This window comes from Homo sapiens, chromosome 9 (genome assembly GCF_000001405.40).
Source record: "Homo sapiens chromosome 9, GRCh38.p14 Primary Assembly".
NCBI lineage: Eukaryota > Metazoa > Chordata > Mammalia > Primates > Hominidae > Homo > Homo sapiens.
In genome coordinates, this window is record NC_000009.12 from 77,920,551 (window position 1) to 77,944,795 (window position 24,245).

The 24,245-nt window shown below is 39.2% G+C and overlaps 1 protein-coding gene across 3 annotated transcripts in view; it reads right to left on the reverse strand.

The window, feature by feature from the left end:
- The window catches only part of GNAQ (G protein subunit alpha q), a 315,715-nt gene that overhangs the window by 204,454 nt on the left and 87,016 nt on the right, over positions 1 to 24,245 (reverse strand). For all 3 annotated transcript variants that reach the window (NM_002072.5, XM_047423239.1, XM_047423240.1), the window contains exon 2: positions 1,611 to 1,795. In NM_002072.5, coding sequence (NP_002063.2) covers positions 1,611 to 1,795 — 185 coding nt within the window. The remainder of the gene's footprint in view (positions 1 to 1,610; positions 1,796 to 24,245) is intronic.

The window sequence follows — 24,245 nt, forward strand, 5'->3', positions numbered from 1 at the left end:
CATGCTAACGATTTCAGAAACCACTGAGATTTCTTGGGGCAGGGAGAACCCTGATCCTTTCAAATTCAGACTACTTAGATATATCCATGCAGCTTACTCTGGCTCAATTACCATGTTCCTGGGCTCACAAACTTGCACAGTTCTTTTTCACCCTTGAAAATAAAAGCAGGAGGAATTATTTGTGGAGGGTCTTTTTGTTATTTGTGGAAAGATTCCTGTTGCCACCGGAAAACCAGGTATGAAAGTATCAATTAGGTAAGAAACCAGTGTTAATTTCAAGGAACCATCTAAGAAAAACAAATGCCTGATTTTAAGATGATTTGGTATTTTATTATAGAAGCCTTGGGATGGTAACAGAGGCAAAGGTATACAGAATTGCCTTATTTTAGCAGTGGGTTCACTTTGTGAGTTAAATCTATGAGTCCCACTGGACATTGCAACTTCTTGCTATTGCTTACTGATCTTGGAAAATGGAAATATCCTTCACAGTAGATTTATCAAAAGTACTGAGAGAATGAAAATTTCTTATTGAAGGCTCTAAAATAATTATAGGTATAAATGCAGTGTTTTATCAACAAAAGGCAAGGCTCACTTATAGGATCAGCATATCTAAAATCCCTGAGGAGCAAAGACTGCATCCATGGGGGATGTATTGATTAACGGGAAGGCAACGAAGTCTTTTGAAGACAACAAAGACATTTCTAACAAATTCCAAATAGATATCCCTTCCCTTGGGCTGGTAGCCTCAGCACAGACAGTCACACCCTGGGTGCAGGTCCAGTTCCTGCCTACAAGCTTTATGTAGGACAACTGCAGCATAAATTCAAACATGGGACAACACTCAGGTATACCAATCTTGTTTGGTATTACATCTCTTTAATATTTAGAGGATGAGCAATCACAGCATTTATTTTCACTCAGGGGAGAAGTGGGATGGTATTCTACTTCAACCAAGAAATAATGCTAGAGGATACTGGAAGTGTGCTTATTTTGTAAAAAGCTAAAATAATTTTAGGGTTTATTCCCCCAATCCTTTTTCAAGTGGTTTTAGAAGTTTCTGTTACTTTAACACAGTTGCAGGGAAATGCGTTGGAAAGGTTATTGGAAGTGACAGATGGACCTATTTTGAAATCAAATGAAGCCTGTGGTACTACTGAAAGAAAATCACAAAATTCAAAATTAAACCAGACAGAATAGTTTTAGGTTGTTTTCACTCTTTTTTCAATGTATTAAAAAGCAAGGCCACCACCTCTTTGAAATCCCCTATTTTGGCCAATTTATGATACTTACAAACTCTCTCCTTAACATAATGTGCTTCTCCAAATTTTAAACCTGAAAATATTTATTGCTGAACATCCAAATATGCCTTTCATTGATATCACTAAAAATACAAATCTGGTTTTTTATAGGTATAACTTTAGAGGTTTAAGAAAAAGACATTTATCAATAACTTATTATCTATTAAAAGTCTCATTTATGATGGGATGGAAAATGTATATTTCCAAACCCCCCTATGCACTCCAGACATGTCAAGAGGCTACTCGTGTTGTCACATTATTGTGAACACCTGGAACATTCAGCTGACTGCTCCAATGAAGAGTCGCACCTACCTTATTGTGCTCATACTTGTATGGGATCTTGAGTGTGTCCATGGCTCTGATCATGGCCTGCATGGCCGTGAAGATGTTCTGATACACCAGCTTGGTGAAGCCCCTTTTATCTTCATCAGAGTATCCTGACCCATGGATGATTCTCATCTGCTTGATAAACGTACTCTTGCCACTCTCTCCTGTCCCTGAAAGATGAACAATAGCAGCTCATCAGACCACAGTGCCATCTCAGTCTCTCAGATAACTAAACCAAATACCATGCCTTGGATTTAACATCCCCAGATAGCCTGCTGAGAGGAGCGACTCTAGAATTGGAAACACTACCTATGGTGAACATTTAGCAAAATTAGAGGGAGAGAGTCTATTTCAAAGGCAGATGACCTCAAACAACAACAATGAAAAACCCAAACCCGTCACCTCCTTGGAAACCACTCAGCACTGAATTTTGATAGTGATTTGTAACCATGTATCTTGCAAGAAACAATGGCAACAGCATCTTTTGAACATGATAAAACTTGATAAAGCTCTGTTCCCTGGAGAATATCTGAAACGCTTCCAGGACACTGGGTTGATTAGCCAGGATTTGGATCTGGAAATGACAGTGTACTTACACAAACGGTATTCAGACAGAGATAAGAAAAAAAGGTCTGAAAATTTCTAGACACGCTCCCTATTTTATTTTTTTTAGACACAGCGTCTTGCTCTGTAATGCAGGCTGGAACGCAGTGGTGTGATCATAGCTCACTACAGCCCTGAACTCCTGAGATAAAGAAATCCCATCTGAGTCTCTTGATCCTCCCACCTCAGCCTCCCCATAGCTGGAACTACAGGCATGCACTACGATGCCCAGCTAATTTTTTTTTTTTTTTAAATTTCTGTAGAGACAGGTTCTCACTAGATTGACTGGGCTGGCTGTGAACTCCTAGCCTCAAGGGGTGCACCAGCCTTGCCTTCCAACACCCAGCCCATTTTCTCCAATTTTAAAATGTGGCATAAGAACACAGTATCCTGATAGGACAAGAAGAATCATTTTTCTAGATAACACATATCCCCTGAATTTATTTCTGGTGGGAGGTTGGTTGACTGAGTTATTCCAAGGAATCACGTAATTCAGGAAAGCAACGGTGGTTCTTCCCTCTCCCGATTCTTGACTAGTAACATTATATAGAAATTTATTGTGATTAGCTTTTTTTCCTTCTGTGCTATCTCCTTTTTCACATCTTCAATATTACTTTTCCGTTACCATAAGCCTGAAGGTAACCCCTAACAGAGCTATATATGTCCCTGGGAAGAAGACAAGACAGAAAAATGGGATCACTTCACAAAATGACAGCATATTTCTCCTACAATGAATTCAAATCTAAAAGCTTCATTTTTCTAAATATGAGTGGTTATTTTCATGTGTCCTTTCTCAGGGCCTGTTTCTCACTCCCTCTCAAATTTCCTTGAGATCTCCAAAACAATAACTGTCTTTACCTTACCCCAAAAATGTGAAGAAAATAAAAGTGCCAATTTGGATATTAAAGACGGAATAATAGAATGAAACACAGAATGTCCCTATCATCAGGGTCCTTAATGCCATTTGCTCACTACAAAGCTGAGAAAAAGAAAGAAAGAAAGGGAAGGAAAAGAAGAGAGAGGGAAAGGAAGGAAAGAAGGAAGAGAGGGAGGGAAGGAAGGAGGGAGAAAAAAAATAAAAGCTAGTAATACGCCATCTGTCCTAAATTCATTTTGTTTTTCTGATGGTTGGATTTCATTACTATCTTTATAAACAATCACAAAATTTCAATTAAGTATTACAGTTTTCATAGAAGCCTCTTAAATGACTGCAGATGTCTTGGTAAATACATAGCCCTCACACAGTTACAATGAAAGGTATTTCTAGCCACAGAGTCCTGCAGTGGCTGATTCCTTTATAATAATTTTCCTATTACTTTTAGTAAAGTGATCTGGAACTCCTAGAAATATAAATTAACAGCTGTAATGTGAATGCTATCACCCCAGTTTAACAGGATTAATCCAAAAAGTTTAAAATGAGTATTTTATAATCCCAACCATGAATACTGGATAAAAGCATAAAGTGGTTGAAAACTACCATCTCTCTAGTAGAAATAAAGCTACAAAATTTTTTCTCATTATCAACCAACGATTTATAGAAACTAGTATTTTTACTCTCCCAAGCAATTAAAAGTATACAAGACAAAAAAAATCCCGATTGTTTCTTTATTATCACGATCCCAGAGCCAAAGGTTTGCTCTGAAGGCCCAAGTGTAAACAATCATTAATTCACAATAAAAAAAGAAGAAATCCTAATTTGTGAGGTTAATATCAGGCAACAGGACCTTTTTTCTCCTGGTCACCTGAGAAATTTTTATATACTTATCACTACCCTACGCCCCCACCAAAAAAGAGAAAGTATATGAAGTATAAGCACACTGGCATGTGTTTAAATGAAATCACGTTGGGCAAGAGCAGTCAACATTTGGCACTTCTTTGGATCTAGTCACCAAGCCCCTGGGCACTGTCCACACACTGGATATCACACTAATGTAGACTCCAAGTAGGGGCCAAACATGTGACTGATGAATGAATTAGGATAAATTAAGAGGAAAGAAAAAACAATAAAAGTATCAACTCTAAGATATTTTCCTGTTGGCCAGAAACACACCCAGGGATCCTTTCTCAACCATCTCATCTTGCTGGGTACCCCCAGGAGGCTGACCAATAGGGATTTCAACAGCTTTGTTATATTCTGTCTTCTGCTTGGGCTTAGCCAAGAGGAAACCAGAGAGCGGGACAAACAGGAAGGGGCATTTATTCTCCTAGCTTCCTCGCTGCAGTGGCAGCACAGGTGTGCTATGTTGCCTTCAAAAGGTCCCAGCTCCTGCTGGGTGGCCCTCTCCATACTGCTGCTCTCTCTGGGTCCCAACAACTGCTCCCTTGCCTTGTCCAGCTATTGCTTGGCCCCAGGTTACTGCACCAGCTCTTACAAGTTACTTACACCTGGTCCACTCCTCAATCCCCACACTGGAGTGTGCTGTTCGTTTCCTTCTGGAGCTCTGACTAGCACAAATACCAATCAAATGAAGGACAAGGAATACAAGGGAATGGAGGGCATCCTCTCTTTCTCCTCTGTCCTGTTCTCTATAAATCTTTTATTTATAAAGTGTTTTCTATTCAGTAACTCATTCTCATGACACACTTCTGGAAGCCAATCATGATAAAGAAACAGGTCTGGGCATGATTTTCACAATTATCCTAAATCCATGATAATTCACTTCTATTGCCCACAATTTAAAAATATCTCATCTGGGCTTTGACTACACCCAGTTTTTCTCCCTTTAAGCTAATTTTGAATTTCTGAATGTTATTTCAATTAAAGGGACCCATTTTGAATCTTGCTGCCATCTTCCAATTGACCAGCCCTAAATTCCAGGTAAATTTCACTCAAGAACTTAATGTTCACATTTTCATTTTATTATACAAATGTTGTGAATTCAAAGTGAAGGCAAAGTTTCACGTAAGAAAAATCTGTATGATGCAAATATTGTAGGCAGAATAATAAAAGTAGGAAATTAAGGTATTATTTGGCACTAGAACAGAATTCAGCCAAAAAACCAGAGTCATACATTGGTATCCACAAGGGATTGGTTCCAGGATTTCCCTCTTTGGACACCAAAACCCAAGGATGCTCAAGTACCTGATATAAAATGGTATAATATTTGCATATAACCTATACACATCCCCCAAATACTTTAAAACATCTCTAAATTATAATACCTAATACAATGTAAATGCTATGTAAATAGTTGTCATACTGTATTGTCATTTGTATTATTTTTACTGTTGTATTGTTTTTATGGCTTTTAAAAAATATTTTCTATCCAATGTTGGTTGAATCCATGGATATGGAACCCGCGAATAGGGAAGGCCAAATGCATATGGACTAAAACATCAACAAAGAAAAAAACTCAGCTTCTTTGTTCCATACAGTTCTATGACAGAGACAAATGAATTATTTCTAACAAATGTGTAAGCCAAATTTCATGTGTCATTCTCCTATTTTTATAGAATTATACCATACTCTCTGAGTTTGAAATGGCCATTTTAACAATCTAGTCCTGATTAGTATGAAAAATTTTGGTATAATAAAAAAACAGCTGTTCCCAAATTACATAAAATTATGTTGTTTCCTAAGGCCACATGAAAATGAAAACTGTAAGAGACTTCACAATTCTCTATCTCTGAATGAAAAAAAGCAGACTTTTCTACTAGTAGATTATTTCAAGAATGCAGTGATGACTAATGTCTTTTCACAGCATAGGGCAATGAAAAGCACAAATAACTCTGACCAATCTAAAGAAATATGACTCTGCTTCCAAGACCACTGGTACTATAAAATCTGGTGACAAGCCCTTACATAAAATATCTAGGGGAGGGATAAGGATCTCATTTTTGCTAATTTAAATATATCTCCAATCAAGTCATTTAATAACTTTAACAAGCAAATGAACACACACAAGGGTGTGAGTCCCAGAAAAAACCCTGCTCTTTCAATGGCCTATATAAATATGACTTGAAAATATCCCCATAAAAGTTATTTGTACCTTCAGGCAAGTACTCTGCCTTTTCTTATCTCAGCTCATCTAAATACCCAGAAATGAGATTACCCAGAAATGAGACTATTTAAGAACCATGCTATGAGAAGGCCACTTCATCCAGTGTGCGTAATTGGCTATAAGGAATACTAATTTTTCTTCCCTATTCGCTAGATCAGGATAAAGCACAGAGAGCAATCTCCAGTTCATTCACATCTCCTTCCATCAGAACAAACATCAAACACAAACTCAATATACTATGATACAGTGCATCAATTTGTAAGCTGTTAGAATACATCACATTAGACACACACTCTCACACAATCTGATGCTTCCATTTTAGGCCTTTTCTTCCCCCCAAGATCTTTTCAACACAACAGGATTCCCACATACAAGTTCTGCCAAAAATCTGTATTTACTCTATGTGTCTGATTCACATAAGCCATATATATGTTTACAATGATTATTTTGCCTATTTGCATGATATAGTCTGCAAATAGTAAAATGACCATTTTAAATCCAATCATATGTACCTTCTTAATGGTAATAAATTAGCATTTATTGTTGAAAGCAATCGTGGACTCATTGGTTCCTTCTCTCACTTAAACTGGCTTCTTGGGCTATTATGTTATCAAAAGAGCTGCCAAGGCCAAACCACATATACAGAAGCATTGCTCAATGCTTAAAAAATGTCAGTTATTACTGCCACTGCTCCGAAGGATGGTGGTGCCCATTTCCATACAAGGGCTCTGGAAAACAATCACTGAATACTACCAGGAACTTCAAGGGTCTACATGGTTTATCATCTTTACTCTGAAGAAAAAAAAGGGGGTGGGGGCAGAAAACACACCTTACCAGGGCCTCTCACAGACTGAGGGAAGCCCATACCACTTCTACTTTTTTTTTTCAAGGGTCTCTGTTATGCCAAAACAGTTACCAAAACTGTGGCATTTAAAGTTACACAATGAATATATTTATTTCACACTGCCAGGGCCTTTCATGACTGTATCTGGAGATATTGTCAAACTATCAGAAGTCTAATCTGAAGATCTTAATGAATGGGAAGGCTCAGGACGAATGCCCCCACCCCACTCTCTTAATTGGTCAGCACCCAGATAAACAACAGCCAAGAACAAAACCCAAGACTCATGGAGCTGAATTATAGAGTAACTGTACTTCAGGTCCACTGGTTTAAGCTAGGAGTTTGAAACATGAAATCTCAGCACCACCTCATCTGAACTTGGGCTACTTTCACATACACTTGGATGAAGTAGAACTAGAAATTTTAAGGAGAAATTTTCTACCAATAAGCACATCATCAATCCACACCTGCAAAGAAAAAAGTATTCAATAACACTGAGTCAAAACTCAATCCATGTGTTGTCCACATTCCAGGCTATATCTACTTTAAAATATGTGTATTCTGTTTTCTGCACATTTTCCTCTACTTAGATTAAAATCCTGCATTTGAAACACAGCAGCTCTAAGACCAAAGTTGCCATAACTTCCCGTCTTTTCATGACTGTCTGTTGAGGGCAAGAGTTGAATACAATTAACCATTTGTCCCCAGCATGGTCGTGCAGAAGATCCCAGACAATTTTTAAAATTTAACACAGAACAGAACTGAATTTAGTATAACCAACTACAAGTGGAAACTGGACATGTAATTTAGTGGTAACCAGGACTATTAATAATAACTAATCCAGTTAAGTTGTTTTAAAGGAAAAGACAGGCAAAACACATTGAAAATTCATTCACTGAAAGTATTAGAAGGTCATGTCAGTCCTGGACTTCTCAGTGTGGTAAAATCCTCCCAGAAGAGTCACTTGATCATACAAGGTTATTCAAAGGTACAAGAGCATTTTCTTGGAGTGCCCGTAGTAAACATTTGTGTATTAAAAACTAACATCAGTTGGTTGCAGAACTTCCTGAATATACTAAAAAACATAAATTTGTACACTTTAAAATGGTAAATTTTAGGTCCGGCATGGTGGCTCACACCTGTAATCCCAGCACTTTGGGAGGCCAAGGTGGGCAGATCACTTGAGGTCAGGAGTTCGAGACCAGCCTGGCCAACATGGTGAAACCCCGTCTCTACTAAAAATACAAAAATTAGCTAGACGTAGTGAGGCGCCTATAATCTCAGCTACTCAGGAGGCTGAGGCAGGAGAATCACTTGAACCAGGGAGGCGGACATCACAGTGAGCTGAGATCGCATCATTGCACTTCATCCTGGGCAAGAGTGAGACTCTGTCTCTAAATAAATAAATAAAAATAAAATGGTAAATTATGGTATATAAATATCTCAATTTAAAAATTTTTTTAAACTAGCATCAGTATAATTTGGAGAACAGGAAGTTTATGTGAATTTTCATGCTAAAACTTGTTCAGCAAGTTACTTTGAGCCAATCTGCTCAACTTATTCCTATTCTTTCCCCTAAGAGTACATGTTCACTCTCTCTGCCTCTGGATGTATTTTGGAGAAAAGGTGTGAGAAGCCCTGAACCCATTGATTTCATTAAGGAGGGAACCAACTCATTCAAAGATTCTGCTGGTTGACAGCTAATGAGGGAGAAGGTAAGACTGGAACCTACCAAGGTCTCTTATCTGTCCAGAGCTCCTGATCTTGTGTCCTCATACACTAAACATTTTTTCTATTAATAAAACTTACAAATATTTGTTATAGAAAATTATTTTAAAACTTGAACATTTTGATATATTTCTTTCCAGTCTTTTTTTTCTAGGTAAATGTACTTTTTCCTGTTCTTGTTCTAAAATAAAACTGCAACAGGCTGGGTGCGGTGGCTCATGCCTGTAATCCCAGCACTGTGGGACGCCGAGGTGGGTGGAACATTTGAGGTCAGGTGTTCAAGACCAGCCTGGGCCACATGGTGAAACCCTGTCTCTACTAAAAATACAAAAAAAAATTAGCCCGGTGTGGTGATGTGCGCCTGTAGTTCCTTCGGGAGGCTGAGATGGAAGAATCAATTGAACCCAAGAGGCGAAAGCTGCAGTGAACAGAGATCACATCACTGCACTCTGGCCTGGGCGACAAAGCAAGACCCTGTCACACACACAAAAATTTTTTTTTAAAACCTGCAACAATACTTTATTGTTATTTTTCGCTTAACATACTATGACAATTATTCTCTGATACTAATTATTCTTCAGAAATGGTTAATAATGATTATCTGAAAAACAACATAAAGATGTGTGATAATTTAAAAATTACCCTGTCATAACACATTTTGAGCAATTCTAATTTTTTGCTTTTGTAAATAATGCTCTGATAAACACCCCTGAACAAAAATCTCTGCCTGAATCTCCATTTCCTTAGGAGAGTATCATAGAAATGTGATTAGACCAAGGATGTAATCTTTGTGCAGGATCTGGCAGTCCTGTAACTGTACCAGCTGACACATCCACAGACCCATCCCCCACCTCACTTTTGAAAAGACTATATTTTTTAACCCCTACAAATTTGAGAGACTGAACTAAATTTAATTTACATCTTTTGAGAAGAAACATGCTTCATACTTTTCTTGTCCATTTCTATTTCTTCTATGAACTTGCCCTTTCATTTTAATTATTTAAGGACTTGCTGTTTTTCCTACTCGTTTTTTAAAACAATGTAGTTTTTAAACACAAAATTAATGCTCATTTACAAATATTTCCCCAATTTGTCATTTTATTTTCATTTGTTGACAAAACTGATGCATAAATTTGCACTATGAAAGAAACGATTACAGTCATTCATATAAGCTTTCCTTTAGTGATTTCTTTCATTTATGTCTTTAAAAAGGCTCAAACATATATATTTTATTCTAGGTTTCAAAGTTTTACCTTTTACAATTAACTAACAAAATAAACATACATATTTTGATGTGTGGTGTGCAGTGATTTTTTTACTAAAAAACTTTTTCTCAAAGTCATTACATACTTTAAGGTCACAGGGTCTCAGGAGTGTTTGGCCTCAATAGGAAATTTTTTCATATCCTCTAATGTGCTGCTAAATGGTGATCAAAAAAATATATGAAGCATATTAAGTGTCCTAAAGCAGCAGTCCCAACCCCCAGGACCACAGCCCAGCACCAGTCACTGGACTGTTAGGAACCGGGCCGCACAGCAAGAGAGTGGCAGGCATTACTGCCTGAGCTATGCCCTCCTGTGCATTAGATTCTCATAGAAGCATGAACCCTACTGGGAACTGTGCATGCGAAGGATCTAGGTTACATGTTCCTTGTAAGAATTTAATGCCTGATGATTTGAGGTGGAACAGTCTTATCCCGAAACCAACCCCCCGACCCGACCCCCATCCCTGGAAAAATTGCCCAAAAAACTGGTCTCTGTTGCCAAAATGGGAACAAAATGGGAAGAGGGAACAGAATGAATGTCATTGAGATGCTTGTAGGACAGCGGTCCCTGTCCTACAAGCATCTCAATGACATTCATTCTGTTCCCTCTTTTTCTCTTCCTTACACAACCAGCAGGTCCGCATTTCCATCCCTAAGCATTAGACTTTTGCTCACTGCCAATTTATTTAAAGAACTCTCACTGGGTGCGGTGGCTCACGCCTATAATCCCAGCACTTTGGGAGGCCGAGGCGGGCAGATCACGAGGTCAGGAGATCGAGACCATCCTGGTTAACACAGTGAAACCCCATCTCTACCAAAAATACAAAAATTAGCCAGGCATGGTGGCAAGCACCTGTGGTCCCAGCTACTCAGGAGGCTGAGGCAGGAGGATGGCGTGAGCCCCGGAGACGTAGTATACAGTGAGCCGAGATCATGCCACTGCACTCCAGCCTGGGTGACAGAGCGAGTGAGACTCTGTCTCAAAAAAAAAAAAAGAACTCTCAAGAACAGTAGTGAAAATATTCCAGGAAGTTAAAGACTCTAATCTCTCTTCCACTTTATACATCTATTCCTACCTACATATTATGCATATGCTACCTATTCCAGTTCCTCCTCTTAATAGCCCTGTGGCCTTGGGTAAATTACCTGTCCTCTCTAAGCCTGCTTCTTCATCTGCAAATACCACCACCTAGTTTACAGCTCTGCTCTGAGTTTTCAATTAGTTAATCCAAGTAAAGCAGTACCTGGTAGGAAATAGACAATAAATGTTAGCTATAATTTACAATGCAAAATCAAGTGCAAAAATGAGAGAGTAGTCTGATAAAAGGCTACAGGGCAGGGTTGGGTGGGGGGACAACAAAACCTCAGTAGTCAAGAGAAATAATATTTTAATGCAATACTTTTAAAAGTCAAAATTAATACCCAAAATTCACAAAGAATAAAATAAAGACAGGATCATTAACAGAACTATGTTGCACCATATTGGCACCTAAGAAGCTGCCTTTGGTTTTGATCCAGTGGCAAGTGCTTTTATTCACCTTATCTAGTCTCAGCCCTGACTCAAATTCTCCATTCCCAAAATAACTGAGATAACCATCACCAGCATTTCAGTATTTAAATTCATAGTGTTTGGAGATTTTTAGCTTGAATTGTTTATTCTTAATTTTATTGGATATAGATTGCATATCAGACATTCTTCCAGTATCAAGGATGCAGGACACAGTCATTACTGTCACAAAGGTAACATGCAAGTGTGAGCAGATGATTTATTGATAGATGAATAATAAAATATCTAATGGAGATGAGTGCTATGCGCTAAAGAATTAAACGACAATGAAATACAGAGTGACCTGACTGCTGCTTTGAGATACCCTCTTAAGAAGGTACATTAAAACTAATATTCAAGAACCCGCAACAAGAAAATTAGAAGGAAACAGCATTCCAAGCAGTTGACCAGCTGACTTGGAGGCTGAGGTGGGAACATATTTAGCTGGCATGTTGCAGGTACAAGAGGGTCAGTGTGGTTGTGGCACAGCAGCTGGATGGCAGAGGTAGGAGGCACGGCAGGAGCACAGGCTACAGTTGCAATGGCCAAGTCACCTGGAGCATTATATTTTAGGAAACAAGTTGGATTTTATTCTAAGTGCACTGGACAGCCTTGGAAAGTCTGAACCAGTGAAGTAACAGGCCTTGATTTATGCTAGGTAAAGAATGGATGACTGTTAAGAACAAATTAGTAGGGTATTCCAACAATCAAAACAAAAAAAAATCCTAAAAAAGTCTGTGTGGGGCTGACAAGGGGAGGGATAGTTTGGAGATGGATGAAGTGAAAAAGGGAGGAGATGACATAGGGAGAACTCGTTGATTTCTGGCTTGATGGATGGAGGCACTAGATTCTTAGAGAAGCCTGAAGAGGAAAGAGTTTGCAAAGAGAGGAGGTTAAGTTTGAAATGTGTATTCATCCCAATGAAAAGCACTCTCGTACACCTAGAAAGTTCACTGCATCGACATGGAGACTACCCACGGAGGATGAAACAGAGGATGCGATTTGTGTCCTACATTCTCTGGGCCTCAAAGGCAAGGACACAGACATGACTGACCGTCTTCTGCTAATGTGTGAGTCAGAGCAGGCTGCAAAACCTGATTTGCAATTTCACTTCCTATGAGATAAATCTCCTTAGCTAAAGAAAAGGTAAGAAACTTGTTGGTCTCTAAGTTCCACACACAGACACACAAACACACACACACACATTTATAAAGTGGCATCATCTGGCCAGGAGCGGCGGCTCATGCCTATAATCCCAGCACTTTGGGAGGTCAAGGTGGGTGAATTGCTTGAGACCAGCCCATGTTGAAACCCCATCTCTACTAAAAATACAAAAATTAGCCAGACGGGGTGGTGCACGCCTGTGGTCCCAGACACTCGGGAGGCTGAGGTGGGAGGATCACTTGAGCCCAGGAGGCAGAGGTTGCAGTGACCTGAGATTGTACCACTGCACTCCTGGGTGACAGAGTACGACCCTGTCTCAAAAAAAAAAAGTGGCACCATTGATACATGCACACTTCTTTTAGAGAAAACCGGGACTTCCCTGAACATTATTTGGGAAGCAGAAAGATATAAAAATATAAAGTCATAATAATAACAGATTTTAAGCAGCGAGGACCCTTCAAACTTAATACACCACCCACAGAATTTAACATTTTTTTTCCAGATAATAAAAAACGTGACACACGCAATCCAGATTATTAGGTCACACATAAAGATAAATTGCACACTTTAAAAATGCAGCGGCTGGGAAATTATGGGACGCTCTTTTGAAAAGCACTCTGAATTTCCTTATTAACCCTGCAAATACTTCCTCAGGATAGAACAGCTCATGTGGCCCTCCTCAAAAGAGAACAACAAATTACATTTATAACAGAGGAAAAGGCCTAAGATGGATTTGAAATGCCATTTTCCACCTTATTGCATATTCATCAAGAGATCAGCTACAGGCAGAGGTGCGGCACAGAAAGAACATCAGCTGAAGTCAGGGGCCCTCCCAGCCCGCCCACAGGAGACAACGATCCGCACATAGCCACTTGGCCAATGAGAGCTGAGGATGAGCGAATTGGCCTGGATGACCTCAAGGGTTCTCTCCAGCGTTGGATTTTATGATCATTTTCCCTCTCTCTATATTGTTAAACAGCATTAACAACTATTAAATTTCTCACGAGAACGTCACCTAGTATTTAGTATATATTCAAATAATAATTCAAATAAGTTGACTAAAAACTACAGTAGTCTTCTTTCAAGGTTAATATGTCAAGTTTTTTTTTTGCTTTTACTCACGTGGCTCTTCACTTTGAGCCTCTAAAAATAATTATCTTTCAAGGTAGGGGAATTAAGGTGCTAGAGGGAGCCAGCCAAGTACTGCCCCAGTTAAGAGAAGCAATGATCTAGGAAGTCTCAAAAAATACGCAGATTTTCAGATTGCAGAACATGGCATGCTTTCTGGGCTAATATTATCCCAGTAATTTCAAATAATGACATTGAGAATACTAAGAAGGACTTATATATGTTCCAAGTGTGCCTAATACGCATACAACCACAAAAGGATCTGGAAGACAGAAAGTATCATGGAAAACAAAAGTTACTGAATCTGCACATGCAGAGCAGTTACTGACCTTTAAGGACTTTTAGAAGTCCACTGTTCATGTGGCATCTAATAGTCAGTTAAAAGGAAAATTAGGGCCGGGTGCGGTGGCTCACGCCTGTAATCCCAGCACTTTGGGAGGCTGAGGTGGGTGGATCATGAGGTCAAGAGTTCAAGACCAGCCTGATCAACATGGTGGAACCCCGTCAATACTAAAAATACAAAAATTAGCAGGGTATGGTGGTGTGGGCCTGTAGTCCTAGCTACTCTGGAGGCTGAGGCAGGAGAATCACTTGAACCCTGGAGGCAGAGGTTGCAGTGAGCCAAGATTGCACCACTGCCCTCCAACCTGGACGACAGAGTGAGATGCTGTCTCAAAAAAATAAGAAAATTATACCCAAAGAAATACTTCCCTTTTCTTAAAGGAAGAAAAAGAGCATGATTAGAACACACATGTACAAGCAAGCCAAACCTCTGCATTGTTCACATTTTAAAGTTTAAAATTCTCTCTTGGGGGGAAATGTTGATGTTGATCAAAAACCATAGTACCTGCTGGGGGGTCTCATTATTGGCATTAAACCACCCAGCAAGGACTCTTGAAAGTATCATTTCCAAATGGCTATTTGGGAGAATCCAACTACGTCATAAAGAGATGCATTAGGAAATCAGTTGGGTTCTCACTTCTCCTAAAACAAAAAATTTTTTAAGATTCAGCTTTTGTAAAAAGCCAATACATTTGCCATTGGAGATAGGAAGTTGCCCCTTGGTAGCGAATGCTCAGAGAACTTCGAAGATAGGTACATGAAATGTCCCTGTTCTTTTAGGTTATAATTACTCCAAAGCAGTCCAAAGATGCTTCTTGTGTGTTCCACATGTGCTGTCCAAAAGACAGGCGCAACATCTGGTACCACCAATTTTGATGTCAAGACGATTTCACCAGCCAGTTAAAAAAGGTACCCTATGGGCTGTTTCATTAATTTAAATTTTGTCCTCTAATTTATTTCACCTGATTGCCCTATGTTCCTCCAGTATTCAATCCAGTGACAGGAACAGACGTGCAACAAAATGGTAACAGAGCAGGAGTCTCTCTTCCCATCTTTCCCCTTCAGTTTCTTCAGAAACAGCAATAGTCAACCTAAGCCTAAAATAAATAAATGCGGGTTTCCTTACTACTAAGTAAATTGCACATGGAAATATGCCTTCTTCCTGCAAAGGGAAGGATCTCTTTGCTCGGAAGTATCACACCTTGAAATGTATAACAAGCAGGCAGGAAATAAGAAAGGACACTCTTACAACCAGAATTACTCCTTGAGAAAGTAAAGTTAAAGAAAGTACATCGGTGCATTTTATTAATGTTTAGTAAAGCCTGCACATATGATGACTTCCTACCATTTGCCTGAAAAACGAGGAAGTGAAACCAATTTGCCTCTTAATTTAAATTGAGCCTCTCCTCTTGTTCTACAACCCATGAAGTGATCCAAGAAGCAAAAACTAGAGTTAAAGGGGAAGAGATATCATAACCCAAGATATAATGTATGGCTCTTGGATTAGTTCTTGGTTTAGGCCTCATGACCCAACAAATGCTGTCTGAATTATAGCAGTATATACTCAGACCTTATTTTTAATACACCGACCCAATAATACATAAAAATAACATTGGAGGAAGCATAATAAACATGGTTTTAGTCTTTAAAAAAACGATCAGAAACCAACTGTCTTATATGCAACCTTCCCCCTGAAATGTTTCATCATAGAAAAGATAAAAAAGTCATTAAGGCATCTAGTGAAAACAGTGCCTCACATAGACTGTACTTGCTTACTTGAACCAGTAAGGAAGTTAACAGAAATTAAACCAACTAAATGCAAAATACTTTAACAAATCAAAAAAAGAAAATATTGAATCACTAGGCATCACTAAGTTGGGTGATATTTCCAGGGGTTTGTGAAATCACACCCATACCCCCGCACTCACACCACACATGAGTTGGGGCAGGGCTTCAAAAACCAAAAGCTGTAGCCTAACGCTGACCCTAGAATGATTCCTTTCTTGTCCTGTTGTGTACTTAAGGCTCTCCCAAGTATACTCACCATCAACTTTTTTTTAGAGCCTGTCAATATACTACATATTAAATGAATGACTGCTACAATATTCTAGATCTTCCACAAACTAGAGTTGAGAATATAGAGGTGGGAAAATTTCCAATGATGAAGTATTCTTCTTTCTTTTCCATATATTCTTCTTAATAAATATTACTGCTGAGGCAATTAAGTCATTACTTATTGCTTGTTTTGTACTATAACAGGTGCCACAGGAATTTTATAAAGTACAGGTAATTAATTTTTTTCTAAATAACGGCTTTGTTGATATCACATATATACCCTACAACTCAGCCATTTAAAATGTAGAGTTCTGGCCAGACGTGGTGCCTCACACCTATAATCCCAGCACTTTGGGAGGCCAAAGGGGCAGATCACTTGAGGTCGAGTTCGACACCAGCCTGGCCAACATAGTGAAATCCTGTCTCTACTAAAAATACAAAAATTATCTGAGTGGTGGTGCATGTCTGTAATCCCAGCTACTTGGGAGGCTGAGGCAGGAGAATTGCTTGAACCCAGGATGAGGAGGTTGCAGTGAGCCAAGATCGCACCACTGCATTCCAGCCTGGGAGACAGAGAAAGACTACATCTCAAAATAAATAAATAAATAAATAAAATGTAGAGTTCAATGATTTTTAATATATACACAGATATGTGCAAGCATCATCACAATCCATTTTAGAACGTTTCCATTTGGGTAATGAGACTTTTAAGGAGTTGTCAAATACCTAACTACTCAAAACATCACACTACTTAGAAAAGCTTGGCCGGGCACAGTGGCTCACGCCTGTAATCCCAGCACTTTGGGAGGCCAAGGCAGGCGGATCACCAGAGGTCAGGAGTTCGAAATCAGTCTGACCAACATGGTGAAACCCTGTCTCTACTAAAAATACAAAATCAGCCAGGCGTGGTGGGGCATGCCTGTAGTCCCAGCTACTCGGGAGGCTGAGGCAGGAGAATCCTTTGAACCTGGGAGGCGGAGGTTGCGGTGAGCTGAGATTGCACCATTGCACTCCAGTCTGGGCAACAAGAGTGAAACTCTGTCTCAAAATAAATAAATAAATAAAATTTAAAAAAAGATAGAAGAGCTTGCTGCTAAATGCATTCCTTCTTGTTTTGGCTTTCAAGTACAGTTGTCCCTTGGTATCAAGGGGATTGTTTCCAGGACAACCCTCACCCCTCCACCGATACCAAAATCTGCAGATGCTTAGGGGCCCCATATATAAAATGGTATAGCATCTGCATACAAACTACACACATCCTCCTGTATACTTTAAATGATCTCTACATTACTTATAATACCTGATACAATGTAAATGCTATGTTAATAGTTGTTATACTGTATTGTTATTTAGGTTATTTTTATTGTTACTTATTTTTAAGTATTTTGCATCTGAGATTGGTTGAATCCACACAGCCTATGGATTCAGAAGATCAACTATATATATTTATATGTGGGCTCTGATGTAACCGCTTTGTTCTTTCTCTATGTAACACATGACAGAGTTTGGATCAGATCCAACAGCCTATGAGATGCTATTGAAAAGTTCTGAGCAGGTAAGAACTTCATCATAGGACTCATGAAGAAGACACTGGCATGGCACAAACAGTTCAATTTTACAGGGAAGAAACACAACAAATAAATGGGACCAAAGAAAGCTACCGCAAGGCCCACACAGGAGGTAAGTGCCTGAAATTGTGTGGTGAAAATGGGCAAGAAGGAAGGACTTAATATTGAAAAGATAGAACAGGCAGGTTGTGGCTGTAGTCTGTGCTGCAGTGAGAGAAAGAGGAGACCAAGAAAGAAGCACGGCTTGAACCTGGGAATCCGAGAAAATGGGAGCACCTTTAGCACTACTGGAAGGTCCAGAAGGAAAACTGGTGAAGTGTGAAGCTGATAGGCCACTTTTAGCTGTGTTACGTTGTCAAACGCATTTTCAGGGCATACAGGCTAGAAGCGCGATTCTGGAAAGCTTCTTCCTGGGGCTTTGGAAGGGAAACGCTGCTAAGTATGCACAACTGAATATTCAAAGCAGGAGACAAAATCATCTGGATACTGGTTGATGGAAGGTTTTAGATGTGGTGGGAGGACCAGTGGAACTAGGCAGATGGGACTGACAGGGCCCCCTGCCCCTCTGCAATGTAGCAAATGGCTGCATGAAGGAGGAGAGGGCAGCCTTGAGGGTTCTCTGGGTGTGAGGGTCTGCCCAGGCTGACCTGGGAGAGACACCAGTACAAATCAAGTTTATCCCACCTTCCAGTGTCACTTCTTTCCCACTGTTCTCCTATATCAGGTGTGTCCCCATGACCTTCCTAAGGATATGGAATGAGGGGCAAGGAAGGTTCTAGAAATGTTGAATAAATACACACATTTACAGTCTTTTATAGCAATGGCCATGAAACTCTACCTCAGAGCCTCCACTGGGCCAAAAGTAAATTTCCAAATTCTATTAATGCATGCAACGGCTACGCATGAGTCATGTGCCTTCAGTTTGATAAGAAAATTCTGATCCTGCAGCATGAAGAACTAAATATGTTTACTCAAACCTCACTAGGAATATTTTAGTCACCTTATTGAAAACTCATTTATTTTTACTAAAACTGAAGAGTACAGTTGATGTCCCAACCTATTGCTGACTATAAACTCATAAATTTCACCACCTTGAGATAGTATAAAGCATGAATAATTCTAAAATACTAAATAAGTTCCCCCCTTTTCTCTCCCAATTCATCTCCAGAAATGAATAATACAGAAAGCAAAGAAAAAAACAGAAAAAATCCAAACCACAAGTCAATAGCCATAACAGATAATCAACTGGGTGAAAAAACTCATTCTGGAATTTTGATTTCAACCTAATTTTAGAGTAGGTAATTATTCTGTCCAACAAGAATTAGCAAGAATCAAACAGATAATGCCATATAGAGAATATTTTATAATCATAATATGTTGGGTGTTTTGAAACATGGCCATTGAACTCTTTTGCATATTAAGAATATAAGACTGTGTGGCAAGCCTGATTTCTGCACCCTCCCCTTTTAAACCAAATCCAAGAAAGTAGTTCTGATTGGGTTACCTCACAGTTATGTACTCGCTGATGTCCTGACACTTAATGATTAGGGTGATCATATAATTTATCATCCTAAAACAATAATTTCTAAGAGTAAAAGGGGTACTATTAAAAATTATACTAGACAATATGTGTAAACCACAATAGTCCTAGGCAAACTGGGACATACATATGATCCTATTAAAAGTATTCTGGAATAGAAGAAGGTTGTAAAAGAGCATCTAAAAAGCTGAAGAGAAGTTATAAAGGTGAAGAACATAGGGCATGGAAAAAATCTGAATATTAGCAGTAGTACACAGTCCTAATATCCCTTATAGTGCATATTACAGATTATAAAAAGTGTATGAACTCCCATAACAAACAATCCTTTAAAAATAGGACCTAGGTTGTGCACAGCGGCTCACACCTGTAGTCCCAGCACTTTTAGGAGGCCAAAGCGAGTGGACTGCCTAAGCTCAGGAGTTTGAGATCAGCTTGGGCAACACGGCAAAGCCCCATCTCTACAAAGAAATACAAAAATTAGCTGGGCATGGTGGGCACCTGTGGTCCTAGCTACTTGGAAGGCTGAGGGGAGAGGATCACTTGAGCCTGGGAGGTCAAGGCTGCAGTGAGCAGAGATCACACCACTGCACTCCAGCCTGAGCGACAGAGACCCTGTCTCTTAAAAAAGAAAAATTAAATTAAATTTTAAAAAGAATCTAACACATTGGGAGAAAGTATCTGCAAAATACTACAAAGAGTTAATAGTGATGTATTTTAAAATTTGCAAGTCGGCTGCGCGCGGTGGCTCACGCCTGTAATCCCAGCACTTTGGGAGGCCGAGGCAGGCGGATCACGAGGTCAGGAGATCGAGACCATCCTGGCTAACACGGTGAAACCCCATCTCTACTAAAAATACAAAAAATTAGCCGGGCGTGGTGGCAGACGCCTGTAGTCCCAGCTACTTGGGAGACTGAGGCAGGAGAATGGCGTGAACCCAGGAGGAGCTTGCAGTGAGCCGAGATCACACCACTGCACTCCAGCCTGGGCGACAGAGCGAGACTCCGTCTCAAAAAAAAAAAAATTTGCAAGTCATTTTTTTAAATCTCCCAATAAAGAAAAGGGCAATTGGAAAAAAAAGTAACAACTAAAAAATAATTTAGCTTCACAAGTATTAAAAGAATTAACAAATTCAAATGGCAATGACATAATATTTTTCAAGTATTAAATTGGCAAAGATGTTTTTAAATGCTCATATTTAGGATTTGGAAATCTAAGGCAAAATTGGAATTCTATACACCAATGTGAGAAATACAAACAGCCACAAAGCTTTCTAAAAAAACTCAACAATAGCTACCATATCTTTTTTTTTTTTGAGACAGAGTCTCGCTCTGTCACCCAGGCTGGAGTGCAGTGGCGCAATCTTGGCTCAGTACAAGCTCCGCCTCCTGGGTTCACGCCATTCTCCTGCCTCAGCCTCCCAAGTAGCTGGGACTACAGGCACCCACCACCACACCTGGCTAATTTTTTGTATTTTTAGTAGAGACGGGGTTTCACCATGTTAGCCAGGATGGTCTCGATCTCCTGACCTCATGATCCGCCTGCCTCGGCCTCCCAAAGTGCTGGGATTACAGGCGTGAGCCACCATGCCTGGCCAATAGGTACCATATCTTAAAATATTGTATACGTTTCTGCTCTAGTGATTCCACTTTTAGCAACTTTCCCCAAGGAAATGCTCATGTATGTTGCAAATATTAGCTATTGGATGTGTATTCACAGTTGATTAAAAGCATCAAAAAATCAAAACCTAAACATTCAACGATAAGGAATGGGTAAAATAAATAACAGTCCATCCATATGATGAGAGACTACGCAACTAGGAGAAACAATGTTTTATTACGTTTAACTAAATAAAACTGTTGACAATATATTGCCAAATGGAAAGAGTGGACTGCAAATTCATATGTAAACCTCATACCAGTTCTCGAAAATGTGCACTTACATACAACATACATACACACACACACACACACACACACACACACACACACACACAGAGTATTATATAGAAAGAGGTAGGGTAGAAAAATCTATAATAAAGTGTTGAAAGTGATTATCTCTGGGTGGTAGGATGAGTAACTTCTCTTTTTCCTATTGCTAACTTGTATTTTCCCAATTTAACAAATTAAAATGGTATATTTTGTAAAAATAAAACAGTTGTTAAGAAACTGGGAGAAAAAAAAGGTCTATCCCCTTACAAGGACTTTACTTCAAAGATGTAACAGAACTGGTAACAGAGTTAAAAGATCATGTTCTTTAAGTCAGAAGATGTGGAAGGTGAGGTAGTTTGGGGCTGTACTTGGAATTCCTCTAAGACCAGCCTTGTGAAGATAAAACTGAGATAAAATATACAAGAAAATGTCAGAGAGTGGTCAAGTATTATATGAAGGAATTTGAATATTATATAATGGAATGATTTTACTAGTGAGCCATTAGCAGAACATGTTTTGGGTTGAGTTGTTTTTCTTAATTCTGCAGTGATCCATCACTCTGCTTTGTGAGTACTGTGATATACTTGCAAAATGGTTGGCTGGACAGAGCAGAAACAGAACTGGCATGCTGGATGAAAACCACAGCCTTTACATTAGTAACCCTTGTCCTAATCAATGGAAACAAAAAATAATAAGGCATTCCCAATAGATTTCCTGGGAAACTCACCAAAAAGTAGAAAATCAATCAACACCCCACCACATATATTCCTCATAGTCCTTGACCTCAGGACCCTAAACACAGTAGAGGATCAAAGAAAAAAGGGTAATGCATAATTATCTCAACTGCACCCCTTCAAATATCCACATGTAGAAAACTTTTAAAAATAAAGACACTTGAAATCTACCAGAATATGATCAATAGCTGTGTCTGGCTTGTAAAAATACAGGTTATATTATCTTTTTGTCTGTATTTTACAAATTTCTAACAAGCATTTACAAATTAAATTTTAAGCAATCTTTGCAATCCTTGCAAATCTGCTGCACTTGGATCCAATAATTAACCAACTGGTTATTTGACTGTAAATGAGTGAATTTACCTTTCTGGTTTTCATTTATCATTAAATGGGCTGGGAATGATGACTTCTTAATGGATAGAAACAAAATCCATGAAAAAAGAGTACTATTTTTAGAAGTTCCACTAGTCCCAGTTAGCACATAAGACTAATAACCTCACAAGGCAGATGTTGGGCATTGCAGAACCCATTTCTGACCTCAAAAGCTCTCAGGTCAACATAGATTTGAAGATTATTCTAACCCAGGGAACCAAGGAAAGGGCTCCCCTCAGGGGTTTTGGTTCCTGAGTCAAATTTGAGCCTCAAGATCATTTTAAAGCCAAGCTACAAACCACAAAAGAAACTTAAGAGATATTAACTACAGTATATACTGACACATGTTCGACGTGTCTTGAGAAAAGGAAAAATATGTTGTAACAGATTTGCAAATGTAACATGACACGGGCAAGAACACTGGGAATGTTAGTCCCTTTTCTGCGATTAAAATGTTTGACTTTCAGTAGTCACAGGAATAATATGGGTCACAATTCTCCCATATTTACAAGAGTCAGACTGGATAAACTCAAAAGTGTCTTCTCTTTCTATAATGATATAAATCTCTAGTATGCACATTCATGTGAGACCACTCTTAATTAAAGCTTGATTTCCTCTACTACACAAATTGGAAAAAAAAATAAAGTACCTTTATCCTGGAAGTAACTAACTTTTTTTTTTTTTTTTTTTTTGAGACGACGTCTTGCTCTGTTGCCCAGGCTGGAGTGCAGTGGCGTGATCTTGGCTCACTGCAACCTCTGCCTCCTGGGTTCAAGCAATTCTCCTGCCTCAGCCTCCCAAGAGTAGCTGGGATTTACAGGTACACAACACCACGCCTGGCTAATTGTTGTATTTTTAGTAGAGATGTGGTTTTGCCATGATGGCCAGGCTGGTCTCCAACTCCCTACCTCAGGTGATCCACCCACCTCAGCCTCCCAAGGTGCTGGGATTACAGGCGTGAGACACAGTGCCTAGCCAGTGACTTCTTATTTTAAAATTGTCCCATGTGGTGTTAGGCAACTACCAGAATACTGCTTTAGAAGAACATTCAATAGTGAGAAAATATGTTCCTCATATATTAGAAGAGAAAACAGGCAGGCAGTATGAACGAATGATACCTGTTCAAAATCTACTGATTCATTCAGAATACATACATAATATTAACAATAGGATATCTGGCTAATGGCAATACTAGTACTTTTTTTCTTAATCTTTTCAGTATTTCAAAAATCTGGTACATTTGAAAATAAATTACTTTCATAATCAAAAACTATAATAAAAGCATTTTAGAATTATTCCAGTGGGGCTCACAAATCTTCCGCCATACCAGATCACCTGGCTCCATCAAACAACCAATAGAGGCTGTTTTATGAAGCTGTGTATACAAGATGCAGGTTGTCACTTAAACCATTCATTTAAAACACTCAATCATCCTTGCACCATCAAGCCGCCTCACCCCATATATCCTCTTTAGACCAGAAACCAAACCATTCCTATTCCCTCCTCCACCAAACTTACCATTCAGCAACCTCTGAGGCCCCTCTGGTCAGGCCCAGTAGAAAATATGTTTGGGAGTAGGTGGAAGTTCATGGGACCCCTCACATAACTCTGTGAACCACCATTTCTTCCACTGAGGCATTGCTCCAACCTCTGCCACTCATTGTAACGCAAGAGAAATCTGGTCTGCCACTTTGACACTAACTTAGCTTGCCCAGTGTGAAATTAACTGTGTAAAGTACAGTAAAATATTCAGTGAACACAAGATGACACACTGCCTCTTTAAAGCAGCTGTGATTCCATAATTAC